Consider the following 15,737-nt stretch of genomic DNA (forward strand, 5'->3'; position numbering starts at 1 on the left):
GAGTGAGACCTTATTTCAAAAAGAAAGAAAAGAGAGAGAGAGAGGTGGGAAGGGAGGAAAATGAACTCTTTCCACTTCAGAAGGCCCTCAAGTGAAATGAGACTCTAGAACAATGGCTCTTGCACCCCAGCCTCCTGTTAAAATCATGTGAGAGGGAACTTTTGAAATGCATTGATGCCTGTTGATGCTGAATCACTTGGGGGAAGGGCCAGGCCTGTTGGCAGCTTTTTAAAGCTCTCTCATAAGTCCAGTATCCAGCCTGGGGTTGACGGCCATTACCCTTGGGGGAGAGCCTGGTTTTGCTTAAGACAAGCAGGTAGAGAAGATAAGGCAATTTGGTCCAAACAAGACTAAGATACTGAAGGGTATGGGGGAAGGGTTGTCAGAAAGTACAACCATGGGGCATGAGTTTGAGGGATGGGACAGGGAGCAAACAGTAACACAGAGGGTAGTGGCTGAAAAGGACAGGGGCTGTGGGCATACATGGCCTTGAGGGTTCAAATTACACTGTTTTCCAAAGTTGTTTCCATCCAAAGTTGTTGTTTCCATCCAAAGTTGTTGTTTGCTGGGCAGATGGACAGAGTCATAGGCAAGTTCAAGGCAGCCTTTGCACTCCACTCATTGCTTTGACCCAGCAGTTTATAGACAGAGCAAATACATGGAGTTATTAGTGCCAATAATTAGTTATTAGTTATTAATTAGTTATTACAAGCACTAATGCTAAGCCTCTGTGTCCTAAGCAATAAAATAGAGATATCTACCTTGCAGAACTCTTGTAAGGGTTAAATGAAAAAATGGAAAGAATGAATCTATATGAATAAATTTTGTGAACAGGTAAAGCCTTACATAAACATGAGTTGTTACGTTACTGTAACATTAGGAGAAACTGGCAGTATTACCTCCACAGGAAATTACCCTTTTTTCTTAGGAATATGCCAGTTGGTCAGTTTTTAGAGGCCAGATGGGCATTTGGTGTTATAACTAATTTCACTTTGGCTCGTGGCGTGTGCTTCCAGCCTTGTCTTTTCTCTCTAGCAAATGCTTCTTTTCCAAAGAGTGAGCCTCCTTTTTTGTTTCAGCTCCACCTCATAGTAACATCCTGACTCACAACATGTTGACACTACTTAATAGAGCAATTAGATGGAGCCTTACAACAGTCTGACTCTAGAAGCAGACTTTGAACTTAAAGGGTTCCCTCTTTGCACGTGGTTTCCAAACCCATTTTCCTTGCTGCAGACTCCAAGAAATTCTGAAAAGACAAGTTAATTGTAATAAAAAGAAGGTATACTCTAATATGTCACTTAATGAAGGGGATATGTTCTGAGAAATGTCTTTTGGTGTACTTGCATAGACCTAGATGAGACAGCCTATTACACACCTAGGCTACATGGCATAGCCTATTGCTCCTAGGCTACAAACCTGCACAGCATGTTATTTTATTGAATGCTGTAGGCAATTGTAGCACAATGGTAAGTATTTGTGCATCTAAATCTATCCAAATATAGAAAAGATATACAAAAAATATAGCATAAAAGACTAAAATTGGTACACCTGCATAGAACACCTATCGCGAATGGAGCATGCAGAACTAGAAATTGCTCTGGTTTAGTCAGTGAGTGAATGTGAAGGCCTAGGACATTACTGTATACAACTGTAGACTTTGTAAACACTGTACACTTAGCCTACACAAAATTTATTTTATTTATTTATTTATTTTTTTTTTATTTTTTTATTTTTATTTTTTATACTTTAAGTTTTAGGGTACATGTGCACATTGTGCGGGTTAGTTACATACGTATACGTGTGCCATGCTGGTGCACTGCACCCACTAACTCGTCATCTAGCATTAGGTATATCTCCCAATGCTATCCCTCCCCCCTCCCCCCACCCCACCACAGGCCCCAGAGTGTGATGTTCCCCTTCCTGTGTCCATGTGATCTCCTTGTTCAATTCCCACCTATGAGTGAGAATATGCGGTGTTTGGTTTTTTCACAAAATTTATTTTTAAAATAATGTAATTGTACTACAGCATTATGATGGCTACAGTGTCACTAGGTGATAGGAATTTTTCGGCTCCATTATAATCTTATGAAACCACTGTTGTATATGCAGTCCATCATTAACCAAAATATCATATGGCGCTTGCCTGTATATGAAATGATGCTTATTTTCCTCACCCTACACTTAGGTTAATATTAATGTGAAAATGATGCCTGTATTATAACTATCAAAAAATATTTTTATGAAAAAAATTCTGTATGTAGCTATGCTGCTGGTTATTTGGACACAATACTATCGAAACATCCTAAAAATTTGAGTCTCAAAGTAGTCACTATAGTTATGATATTCTTTAATGTAGGTGTCTTCATTTATATTAAGATGGGTTTTATTTCTTCATTTATATTGAACTGGGTTTTATTTCCCCTACTGAGCAGGAAAAAAGGGGGAGATTGGTATTCTGTTTGATCCCTGGCTCTCTACTCTGCACAGAGTAGGTACTCAAACTATGGATTTTGGATATGAGATCTGCAGGTGCCCCTTCTGTTAGTCCTTTTAGCTTCAGAAATCAAAGTTACAGCCCCCAATTGTTTCAGCTGTTTGTATTAAGTAGAAGGTAACAAACTAAAGCACATACCTCTTGCAGATAGAAGATTGCTTATTCTAAAAGATCAAATTGCCTATGTCTCTAAGGGAACTATGTATCAAGTCAGATATCAAGACTTGTTCAATATCACTCGGAGATAGGGTTTGATTCATTTTTAAGATAACATTGTAGTCAGAGGCAGTAAGAATATTGTGCTACTTTTCCTATATTCGTATCAAATTGCATCCCAGCCTTAATGTGGGAATCCTTTCAGCATTTTGTTTTGAAGCTCTGTGACAAACCAATGAACCAAACTGTTAATGCTGATACAGCCTCCCCTACCTACTACAGGTAGGGTTCTTACTACAGTCTCTTATGGAGGCATGCTTCCATGTTAACCACCCCACCAAGCTAGGGGGCTAGCTAGGTTTTCATCCTGCACATTTTGGTGTCTCTAGACAGTGTTTCATGTACGTAGAAAATGCTCAATAAATGTTTGGTGATTGATGACTGGCGGAGTGAACATATACATTCTTTAATACAATTTTTGCCACAACGTTATTTATTGTTGTCAATTTTTATAAAGAAGTATCCTTATTCTTTAAAATGGATTGCTCTCTCCACCCCACTTGCCCCTCCCTCCTCGATTGCCCCTCCCCAACCCCTTACTTTGCAACGCAATCAAGGCATAGATAATTTCCTCTCAGCCTAGAAGTGACATCCTAAGTTCCTTTGCACAACTGAGGAGTTGATGGAGTTCCAGTGAACTGAATACTTTCCATTAATCCATCCCAGAGAGATAGGTCATCTCTTTGTAGCACTGGTCTGTAGAAAAAAAATGAAGTGCCTGAGCAAGATACTGAATTTTAGCATTGCTTATGTGGGGGTGGGGGGCATGGATTGCTCCATGGGCAAATATATTTCTGGTGTCCTGCCATTCTTCCTGGGGTGTAAATTCACTCTTACCTAAGTGTGGGGCAAAGTCTCTCTCAGTTGAAGCCCAGTAGATGCAGTTGATAAAACCGATGTTGAATCCCACAGTTCACAGAATTCTGAGATGTAAATACTGGATTTATCAAGTCAAATTGCATCTAATGATGAGTTGTGTTTGGCTTCTGAGAATCCACAGAAAATTATCATGTGTTTACCTAGGGTTACTTTCTCATGACTTTGTTCTCTTCTTTTCTTGTCTGTCTTCTCTCTCTGCCACATGACCAATTTGTTGCATTCAACTCTGATTTTAAAGGTTTCCATTCCACTAACCGAAGGCCTGGACTTGATATCCATGTTGACGGATGATGCTACAATTGCCGCCTGGAATAACGAAGGACTGCCCAGTGACAGAATGTCCACCGAAAATGCCGCTATCCTAACACACTGTGAGCGCTGGCCTCTGGTGATAGATCCCCAGCAACAGGGAATTAAGTGGATCAAGAATAAGTATGGAATGGACCTGAAAGTCACACATTTGGGCCAGAAAGGGTATGTGAAGTTTGAAGAGACTGGCTTTCTGTTTACCTGCTGTGAAGTGGGTCTGATTTTTATAAAGGCGTGATGTTTCTTAGACCTCTCCACCACATTGATGTATTACAATTTGGTGCTATTTGTTTATCTGCCTGTTCATGTTTCATATAAAGTATCTCTGTTGAAAAGGCATTCTTGTTGGATGGCACCCAATTATCTGAAGAAGAGATAAGATTGAAGGTTAGAACAAACATTGGGTCTGTGGGGGAAAATATGTAAATTTTCTAAAGCCAAGAATGGATATATATTATATTCCTTCTCTGGAGTGTTTGGATAGTAACACAAGAATTGTCAAGGGTGCCTCCGGGCTTCATGATGTTTACGGTCATATTTCTAAATCTATACTCCGCCTATAGAAGGATCTTAACATGGCTACAAGTCCCAACATTGGGTGCCTGAAGTTAATTTATTATCTTAGTCAAGATTTACATGTCACTTTTGAGACCTGAATCTACTCCAAGAATTTCTGTTACTGAGTCATCATGATAATACTGTCTGATAGATAGAAAGCTGTCTTGTATGCAGTTGCTATTCAGTTAATGTTGAATAAATTATTTTAGAACTATGGATATTTCACTTGACCCTTCCATCCTCTTTTTATATGTAGAGTGAAATAAGAAATTTCTGTAGTTATACAAGTAAATGTAGTTCTTAGGCCAGGTACAGTAGCTCATGCCTATAATCCCAGCACTTTAGGAGGCTGATACAGGAGGATTGCTTGGAGCCAGGAATTCAAGACCACCCTGAGCGACATAGTGAGACCCCCATCTCTACCAAAAAAAAAAAAAAAAAAAAAAAAGTTGCCAGGTATGGTAGTGCCTACCTGTAGTCCCAGCTACTTGAGAGGCTGAGGCAGGAGGATCACTTGAGCCCAGGAGATTGAGGCTACATTGAATCATAAACATGCCACTGCACTCCAGCCTGGACAACAGAGTGAGACCACCATCTCTATTTTTTTTTGATGTAGTTTTTGTTTGTCTGAATACTTGGAGAAAATTATTTTTGGTAGGGAGATATTTTGTGGAAAGTAAGACCAAAATAAAATGATAGCTCACCATTTTAAGTGACTAAATGTAAAGGTTTAAAAAAATAAAAGTTTGATCAAGTTTAAAGCATTTAATACATGAAACTTTACTTAAAAAAGAGCCATCAAATGAATTTAAATGTATGATAGTTGGATAACTTACACTTATTTCAACTACAGTTGCTATTACAAGCAACTAATCTATACATAGATTTATTAGTTCAAACTATTAAATTTCACTTCGAAAATATGACTAAAATGTATCTTAAAATCTCATCTTTAATTTCTGTGTAATCTAGTGGAAGGGAACTACTACTTTATAAAATAGTTTTCTCTAAGTTTGTCCCATTTAGAATATCTACATTAAATATAATTTGATCATTTAAAAAATTTTGAACATTTTGTGCCAATTTACATTTTATTATCTCAAATCCCACTGAATTTTAAGGTTTTTGAATGCCATTGAAACTGCTTTGGCCTTTGGTGATGTCATCTTAATTGAAAATCTCGAGGAAACGATAGATCCAGTCCTGGATCCACTACTTGGCAGGAACACAATTAAAAAAGGAAAGTAAGTATTCTTGAATTTTTAACATATATATCTTGCTAAATGATTTTCAGCAGCAGCATCTCTTAGCTTCATAGTCAAGCAGTCTATTGAAATCTTAGTGATATTTCTGAGTTTCCATTTCATGCACCTACACTCCAAGACCAAAGCAACTGCAACATTATCCAGACTTTCAGACTATTTATTTGATGGATTTAGATTTGTTTTATCCAATTCCTGATTTATGGGCCAAAAAATGTATTGTTATAAATCTGAGAATCGTTGCCTCTTTTTAAATTTATACCAATGTTTCTCTAACTTCAGTAATTTGCAGAACACCTTGAATAGGGCTGCCTATCTACATATCACTTGTACCCTGTTTAATGTTTTTCTTTAATTAGATTTTAAATCCATTCACTATTTTTTAAAATCAGCATGGGTTTACTGTGCTAGCTCTGTTTTTTCTAATATACTTAAAATGTAACCATTCGGAAAAGGAGAGTTCATTAGTGGGTCCCTGAAATCATCCCTTATGCCAACAGTAATGGATTGTCAACAACAGAGAAATACTTCCCCCTACCCCTCCAGGAGCTATATGTGACTTTCTAAGAGACTGCCATTCCCCCAAGACAATATACTTTCCAGAACATTCTCTCAGGGGCATTGAAGCCATTTCTGAGGAGTCATCATGTCACTTTCCTATGAATGTGTGAAAGGTCAGGTGCAGCAATTGTGTCTTCAATCAAGTCTGGGTGGGCATAGGGGAAACTGGCACTCAAGAGACTCCTTATGCCTCTTCACACAACCGACATTCACTAGACTTAATTCACTGAGTTTCCTTCCCTCTCTTCTTTTTTTCTTCAAAGATATATAATTTCAGAACTTCCCCCACCCTGTTCTTTCTTAACGCCCACGCTCTGCCTCTAAGGTATCTGTCCCCTTTTTCATCACTAGATTATTCTTGTCAATTTTAAGTGGAAATAGGCCTACATCAGGGTGACTAACTTCTTGGTCTCTAACTGATTAGTATGGTATTTATCATACAATCACTAAGTAAATCCATTTAGAGTGACTGACAACTTATAATTGTTTAATAAACCAAAATTTACCCAGGCACACATTTAGAACAATCTAACAAGCCACTTGACAAACTGCAACTCTTAACATAAATATAATTGTAGCTGTGTCTGATGTGTTAAAAATATAGTGTAAAATCTTGAATGTCACTGAAGTGAAATCCTTGTTATTAAGGTTCTGACTCTATTATGAAGACTTAAAATTTTTATCAGTGAAATGCATGTTCTCTGAGCTTCAATTTCAACTTTCAATAGCACAATTTAGGTGTAAGCAATTTGATGACTCTTATTACATATATAGTTGGATAATCAGAAATTTCCAAAGGCTGATAAATTTGAGTCATGATTCTCAGTATGGACGTAGTTAACTATCAGTGAGGATTCTAGAGGTCTTCAATTTTAGAAACAGATTTTACATAGAGCTTCAAGTCTTTATCACAAAATATCAGGCCAGAACAGTTTAATTCAAATTAATAATATTTACTGAATATGTACTCTCTGTTAAGCCTTGATGAATTGATCATATCATTCTTGCATTTCTTTTAAGGCCAAGAAGATTAAAGATAATCTGTTAAGAATGTAACAAATGGTGCTGATTGCATGCAGTTCTTACCTTAATCCTGGCTCCTAAACCCTTATGTGTGGGAACAACCACTTGTTTGAGGGTGAATCTCAACTCTCTATCATCAGCTGTTCCTCCTTCCCTCTTCCATGCAGATGTTTTTAGACTATCTTCACCCAGAGACTATGAGTGCCAGTGGAGTCCTTATATATCCTGTCAGTCATTGAGTAAACCTTCTCTGAGCACTGCTATATGCCAGGTACTATACTGGGGGCTGCAGATTTAGTGTGATAAGACACAGACCCTGCACTTGAGGAAGCTACACTTCCATAAGTAAAGATAGACCTATAAACAATCAGTGAATGTAAAGCAGAACCGTTGGTGTGGTGATAGACGTATACATGGCAAGGAGTTGTCAGTTCCATAGTGGAGACTTGGAAAGACTTCTTGGAAAAAATTACCTTTGATTACATTTTGTTTAATGCAAGACTCAAAAGTTAAGTAGGTATTTGTGAGGTAGACAAGTGGGAAAAGAGAATCCTGGACAGAGAGCCCTAATTTCAAATAGTAAAACACACAAAACAATCCAACAGCTTTGGGGAACTGCAAATAGAATCCAAATGGGTGGAGAGTCTGTGTTGGGGAGGAAGAGAGAAGGATGTGGACTGGGACAGATGAGACTGGAGAGGAGAGCAGGACCCAGAGCACAGACTTCCTTGGTTGATCCCTAGGTTGGCCTTTTGCTATGTGTTGATAATTTCCAACCCCTCCTAAATACACTCAAGGGGCCTGTTTTTATCAGTTACACTAGTTGGTAGTACCAATTGTTTTTAACTAAGGGACCATGCTTTCCTGGAGTCTCCATATTTTCACTTGAGAATCATGATCATAAGTCAGTGGGGAAGCTAGTAAGAACTCTTGGGCACACTGGAAGCAATGTGATCAGATGAATGTTTCTGAAAGTATTGACTGAAGGGGCGTGGACCTAGAGTCAGAGTCTAGTTAGTAAATAATTGCAGTAATCCATTTGAGACATGGTATGAGCCTAAACTTAGGCAGTGACAGTGGAAAGAGTGGAGGGGACAAATCAGTGTGATATCAAGGAGTTAATACCACCAGTTTATGGTAATTAATTGGATATTATGGTGGGGAAAAAGGAAGATTTAAGGATGTTTTCTTCTGCCTTCTGTCAGGTAAATGATACTGTGCTTTATGGAGAGATGTATATAGGAATGAGAGTAAGTGTAGGGAAAGAACTAATAATTTCTCTTACTAGACATGCAAAGGTTGAGGTACTTCTTTAACACTCATTTCTAAAACAGAAGTCTAAAAAGCAGTTGGATATCTGAGTATGGAGCTTAGTAAAAGGATGTTGGTTGACCACGTAGATTGGGGAATATCTATCTGGCGAAGCAGTTATGCTATCATGGTGGATGTGATTATCTAGGGAGACTCTGTACAGCCAGAAAAACAGAGGGTACCCTGTCTTGCCTCTGCTCTTTTCCCATGAGAAAAATGGGGACCCAGAGACATTAATTAACGTCCTCTTGCATACCTTATCGCTATATGAAGTTTATGTGAAAACCTAGTTTCTTAAACAGGTTTTTCTCTTTTTTATGTTTTTTAATTGCTACGTCATAGTTGTACATATTTTGGGGGTACATGAGATATTTTGATACATGTATACGATGTGTGATGATCAAGTCAGGATGACTGGGATATCTACCACGTCAAACACTTTTCTTTGTGTTGAAAACATTACAGTTCTTCTCTTCTAGCTATATTAAAATATATAATAAATTATTGGTAACTATAACTTTCCTACTATTCTATTGAATACTAGAATTATTCCTTCTAACTGTATTTTTGTACCCACTCACCAGCTTTTCCTTATCTTCCACCTCCCCCGCCAGCTTCTCTTCCTGGCCTGTTGTAACCACCATTCTCCTCTTTGCCTCCATGAGACCCGATTTTTTAGCTCCTGCATATGAGTAAGAAAATGCCATATTTTTCTTTCTGTGCCTGACTTATTTCATTTAACATAATACCCTCCAGTTCCATCCATGTTGCTGCAAATGACAGCTTCATTCCTTTTTATGGATGAATAGTATTTCACTGTGTATATATACCACAATTTCTTTACCCATTTGTATTCATCTGTTTTGCATTGCTATAAAGGAATACCTGAGACTGGGTAATTTATTTATTTATTTTTTTTAAAAAGAGTTTGATTTAACTCATGGTTCTGTAGGCTGTAAAAGAAGCACAGTGCCAGCATCTGCTTCTGGTGAAGCCTCAGGAGGCTCACAATCATGGTGGAAGGTAAACGGGGAGCAGACATGTCACACAGCAAGAAAGGGAGCAATAGAGAATGGGCAGGAGGAGCCAGGCTCTTTTAAACAACCATATTTCAAGGTAACTCATTCCCACAGGGAGGGAGGACACCAAGCCATTCATGAGAGATCTGCCCCCATGACCCAAACATTTCCCACCAGGCCCACCTCCAACATTGATGGTCACATTTCAACATGAGATTTGGAGAGGACAAATATCCAAACTGTATCACAATTCACCCATTGTTGGACACTCAAAAGGGTTTCTTATCTAGGTTATTGTGAATATTGCTGCAGTGAACATGGGAATGCAGATACTTTTGCAATATACTGATTTCATTTATTTTGGATATATGCCCAGCAGCCATATTGCTGGATCATGTGGCATGACCATGAGGAATCTCTATACTGTTTTCCATAGTGGCTATACTAATTTACATTCCCACCAACAATGTACAGGTGTTCCCCTTTCTCACATTTGTTATTTCTTGTCTTTTTGATAATAGCCATTCTAACTGGAATGAGACGGTACCTCATTGTGGTTTTGATTAACATTTCTCTGATGATTAATAATGTTGGGCACATTTCATATACCCGTTGGCCATTTGTATGTCTTCTTTTGAGAAAGATCTACTCAGGTATTTTACCCATTTTTAAATCAGATTATTTGCTTTTTTTTTTTTTTTTTTTTTTTTTTTGCTATCGGGTTGAGTTCCTTATATATTCTAGTTATTAATCCTTGATCAGAAGGATAGTTTGCAAATATCTTCTCCCATTCTGTAGGTTGTCTCTTCACTCCATTGATTGTTTCCTTTGCTGTACAGAAGTTGTTTAGCTTGATGTAATCCCATTTGTATATTGTTGCTTTTGTTGCTGTTCTTTTTGAGGTCTTATCCCCAAAATCTTTTAACAAGCTTTTTCAAATAAACAGGCACTACTATCTTTTGATAGGGTTTTTATGAGTGCCATTTTACCAGTCTAACTCTTCCCCCCTCGGTTTTTTCCTAAGCCTCATTTGTTTCCCCATCAATGTTTTGGAAACTATGTTTTTCATACCTGCAGTTTCCTATAACATAGCCCAGCCCTTTCATTTCTTCTTGACACAGATAATCCCCCCTCCTGTGATATGTTATTTTACTTAACTTTTCTTTTCACAGCCTAAATTCACTATATTTAGGATTTAACTGCTATTTAGCCAATAGCAGTTAAGTGTTAACTGGAAATTTTAATTTGCCTTATTTAATGTCTCCTTTACATAGTATATTTTCCCTGTGTCATTTTGCCATTTTTTTCTCCCCCTTACAATATGCTTAATTTTTTTCACTCATACATAACTTTGATTATAATAAGTTCTTTATGCATAAGAATCATATACTATATGCCTTTAAAAAGATGGTTAACCAAAACAAAAACAGAGCAATACAAACATAAAACTTTTATTTCTGTTACTAGGTGGATTAAGTATTCAAATACTAGACAAAAACTAAATATATTAGTTAAAATATTAAAAACACCTTTCGAAATGTGTTACTGAGTTGACAAAAAGAAAAAGTGCAACTAAAAAGCAGGAACTCCGAGAGACAAGGAACACCAAAGATGGTTTCCTTCTTCAGGGTGCCTGCTAAAACCTGATGACCTTGGGGTTCTCTTTTGATGATGTACAAAGCTTGAACAAGCCTAGAGCCTGTTCAGGATATGCAGTCTGCTAAGAGATTCCTGTATAAAGCTAGAGGACACACCTTCCGTTTAAGGGTAAATTTGTTAAAATTAATAAACACACACAAACAATTGCTAAACTGAGAAAACTTTCCTTTTCTAGCTTGGCACTGAGAAGAGGCAGAAAAAATGTCCTATACTAGTTGCATCCTAGGAGGAGTATTTTGGGTTTTTAGGGTGTTTTAATTTTATTATTTAATACTGATACCTATAAAATACATAATATATGAAGTTATAAAGCATAATAAATTAGACATGTATCTGCCATTCAGATTATTGCCAATATCCTTTAAGCTACCTTTGTGCTCCCCTCCTTGACAATTCTGCCTCCACTTCCAAAGGTAGCCAATGTTCACATATTGGAATGATGTATCAGTTCCATAAAGTCTAACAGACAGGACATAGTAAATATTATTTACTTAATATTTTTAATAACATACATAAAATATATTTTTAATTCAGTAAATAAATATGTATTTAGTCAAGTTTCTAGAATGTGACAGGCATATGAAGATCAAAGATCTGTCCCATTAAAAGATAAATAAAAGATCTAAATAGACATTTCTCCAAAGAACTACAAATAGTCAATAAGCACATGAAAATATGCTCAACATCATTAGTCATCGGGAACATGCAAATCAAAGACATAGGAAGGTGAAGATTCTGAATGTTGCTTATCACTTCATTGTTTTATTTAAAATAATGTTTTAACACGTGTGTGTATTCTGAAACAACATATTCTTTTGGAGCTTTATAAAAATACCATTATGGTGTATATAGTTTAAAAGGACTTGATTTTTTCCCTCAATCATATGTTTCTAAGATTTAATCTACATTGCTCCTTCTGGCTCTAGTTCTTGCAAATTCGTTACTATAATATTGTTTTTGAAACAGAGTCTTGCTCTGTCATCCAGGCTGGAGTGCAGTGGCGGGATCTTGGCTCATTGCAACCTCCACCTCCCAGGTTCAAGTGATTCTCCTGCCTCAGCCTCCCGAGTAGCTGGAATTACAGGCGCCTGCCACCAGGCCTGGCTAATTTTTTTATTTTTAGTAGAAACAGGTTTCGCCATGTTGACCAGGCTGGTCTCGAACTCCTGACCTTAAATGATCTGCCCACCTTGGCTTCCTAAAGTGCTGAGATTACAGGCATGAGCCACCACACCGGGTCTATTACTGTGATATTCAATGATATGACTGACTATTCCTCAATTTATTTAGCGTTCTTATTGAAGGCCATTTTGGTTATTTTTAGATGTTTTGCTATTATGAGTGATGCTGCTATGAATATTACTGAATATTCATGTATACATCTACAGGTACACACATTCATGCATACAACTACAGGTACACATAGCAAGATTCTTCAGTGTTTATGTTCTATAGTGAGATAGTTGGGTTGTAGAACTTATGCACAATCAACTTTAAAAGATAATGCCAAATTGTTTTCCAAAGTGTTTAGAAATGTACATGCTCACTAGTAGTATATAAGAATTGTGGAGTCTTTCAGAGAACTGAGAGAGACTTTTATGCTTCTGCTGTTTTTTATAATCCAAAAGATTTCCCACATTTAATACTATTAGCCACCTCTTCCTATGACGAACTATTCCTGCCTCCTTTTTTTTTTTCCCACTTTTATTTTTGAATGAACAAATTGAGGGCACTCTAAGCTTTCAAAATAGTTGTGTTACAAATGCTTAAAAAGTGCTTTGATGTTTGGGAGGCCAAGGCAGGTGGATCATGAGGTCAGGAGATCGAGACCAACCTGGCGAACACGGTGAAACCCCTTCTCTACTAAAAATACAAAAAATTAGCTGGGTGTAGTAGCGGGTGCCTGTAGTCCCAGCTACTCGGGAGGCTGAGGCAGGAGAACGGCATGAACCTGGGAGGTGGAGCTCGCAGTGAGCCAAGATGGTGCCACTGCACTCCAGCCTGGGCGAAGGAGTGAGACTCTGTCTCCAAAAAAAAAAAAAAAAAGTGTTTTGATGGAATAATAGACATTAGAGACTCTGAAAGGTGGACCGTGGGAGGGGAGTGAGGGATAAGAAGTAACCTAATGGGCACAATGTATATTTTTTGGGTGATGGTTACATTGAAAGCACAGACTTCACCACCACACAATATATCCAGGTGACAAAGCTGCGCTTGTACCCCATAAATCTATAAAAGTCATTTTCTTAAAAAGCATTTTGAATAAATTTTGATATTTTTGTTACTGCATTATTTTTGCCTGATAAGAAGTATCTTTAAAACAAAATAAAGACTTTCTTATTTCCTCATCTAACTCTTTAAAAGAAAGGAGAGAAACTAAAAAGTATTCATACATATGCAAAGTAGGAGATATGGTAAAATAAAAATTAGATTGGTATGAATAGGAATTATGTTTCTTTTTTCAATGCAGTAAAAGTTGGGAGAAAATATAAAAGAAAATTAAGGGGAAAATGTTGCTATGTATTCATTTAATAATAGAGCTACTGATTTGCAGTGTTATAACAAGAACAGAAAATTTTTGAAAATTAATCTACATGTTTGTAAATTTTATAATGGATCTTCCTGTTTACCTCCAACAATGAACATTTTACTTGATTTCTCTATCCTCTTTTTTTTTTTCCTATGTGACTATCTCTGTGTAACCTGTGGGTTTACAAACATTTTCCTTGGTATTGTAAAGACAAGAGATAGCATTGAAAAGAGAAAGCCAGGAAAACAACCTACAGGGACTGTTGAGCTGCCACATTCACCCGGAATGTCTTTATCATGTCCTCAAACTCAGGTGGGATAACACCATCCTCCTTTGAGAAACTCACATCCCTCAGAAAGTTTTTGGCTATCAATAGTGTTTTTGTTTATTCTAGTTCTATTTGTTTGGGGGAGTTGTTGTTGTTGTTGTTGTTTAACCAGTATTAGTTTATTCCTAATAATGAATGTCTGAGAAATGTTTGTGATAGATAAAGCATAGTCCAAAAGTTGAAGTTCATTAATAATTGGAATGTTGTGGAGTGTGAAGTAATGAATACTAATTACTCCTTTCATGTCTGACAGCTCCCTGTGGACCAATACATCAGCCCAGACTTTAATTTGGTTCGAGTAATGGTTTCATCAATAGCACATTAAATCTGTGTTTGAGAAGATATACAGGTGAACCTGGCCCACACAGTAGATACCACTGTCATAAAATGGCCACAGGCCGACAACAGCTGGGTAATTACAAATAATTAAATCCACCAAGCTCCAGACAATCCTAATTTTAAATAAAACATATTTTATATCAATCGACAGCAAATGTATCTGGAAAGATTTATCAACATGTAATTTTTCCAAAGCAAATTTACTGGCTTACATATTAGAGAAGTTGCTGATCTGGGAAGCATCTTCATAAAATTCTCTTTAATCTTTCAAATACCCCTAAATATTTTTGAATTTTTTAAAATATTATTTAAATATTATTATAATTTTTGAAAGACTGGAGTAACTTTACTGCAATATGTATTTCCGGTTGTTTTGGAGTATATACATATATTATTAAAAGATATTTTATACTTCATTCTGTATTTTTCATACAATTATTATTTTAATAATAGTCTTAAAGTAGCATGCTCTAGAAAGGAACTTAAAATTGGCTAATAGAAATATTAACTATATGATTTAAAAAATTTATTTTTACAGAAATAGAGGGAGATGGCATTTTATATTTATTTATTTTATAATGACTAGATTTCCTGAAAGTTATGCTAAGATTAAGAAGAATTGCTTTCAGTTAGCAGCTTTCCAGTTTATTAACTATTATTATGTTTCTGTTCTTGGAGTTGACGCCATGCAATTATAGTTGACTGTAGATCTATTCAAATGAGGACTTAGGTGAGATTTAAGATAGAAACATGTTAAATTGAACGCTACACTGTAGTAGAATGTACTTTCTTGAGCTGGAAGCTTACGGATTTTTTTTTTAATTTTTTTTTTTCTTTTTGAGACAGAGTCTTGCTCTGTCGCCCAGGCTGGAGTGCCGTGGTGTAATCGTGGCTCACTGCAACCTCCACCTCCCAAGTTCAAACAATTCCCCTGCCTCAGCCTCCCAAGTAGCTGAAACTACAGGCATGCGCCACCATGCGCGGCTAATTTTTGTATTTTTAGTAGAGATGGGGTTTCACTATGTTGGTCAGGCTGGTCTTGAACTCCTGACCTCAGGTGATCCACCCTCCTCGGTCTCCCAAAGTGCTGGGATTGCAGGCATGAGCCACCGCGCCTGGCCTAGCTTATGGATTTTAAATAAACTCTAGAGTTATGTAGTTCTCTCATTATTTCCTTTGCTGGTAAGAATAGATTTATTTTCAAGTTCATTCATGCTCTCCTATAATAGACTTCAGCATTCCAGTC

At 36.9% G+C, this 15,737-nt stretch overlaps 1 protein-coding gene and 2 long non-coding RNA genes across 3 annotated transcripts in view; 2 read left to right on the forward strand and 1 right to left on the reverse strand.

Annotated features, from left to right (window-relative positions):
• DNAH11 (dynein axonemal heavy chain 11) overlaps positions 1-15,737 on the forward strand; it is a 358,801-nt gene that overhangs the window by 269,598 nt on the left and 73,466 nt on the right. The window contains exons 64-65 of the mRNA NM_001277115.2: positions 3,831-4,066; positions 5,581-5,703. Coding sequence (NP_001264044.1) covers positions 3,831-4,066; positions 5,581-5,703 — 359 coding nt within the window. The remainder of the gene's footprint in view (positions 1-3,830; positions 4,067-5,580; positions 5,704-15,737) is intronic.
• LOC124901599 (uncharacterized) lies at positions 3,129-3,834 on the reverse strand. The gene is made up of 2 exons (XR_007060248.1): positions 3,551-3,834; positions 3,129-3,409 (listed from the first exon to the last, which is right to left on the reverse strand). It is a non-coding gene; the product is annotated as an uncharacterized LOC124901599 (long non-coding RNA).
• LOC107986775 (uncharacterized) lies at positions 13,575-14,907 on the forward strand. The gene is made up of 2 exons (XR_001745115.2): positions 13,575-14,136; positions 14,406-14,907. It is a non-coding gene; the product is annotated as an uncharacterized LOC107986775 (long non-coding RNA).

Source organism: Homo sapiens, chromosome 7 (genome assembly GCF_000001405.40).
Source record: "Homo sapiens chromosome 7, GRCh38.p14 Primary Assembly".
Classification (NCBI taxonomy): Eukaryota; Metazoa; Chordata; class Mammalia; order Primates; family Hominidae; genus Homo; species Homo sapiens.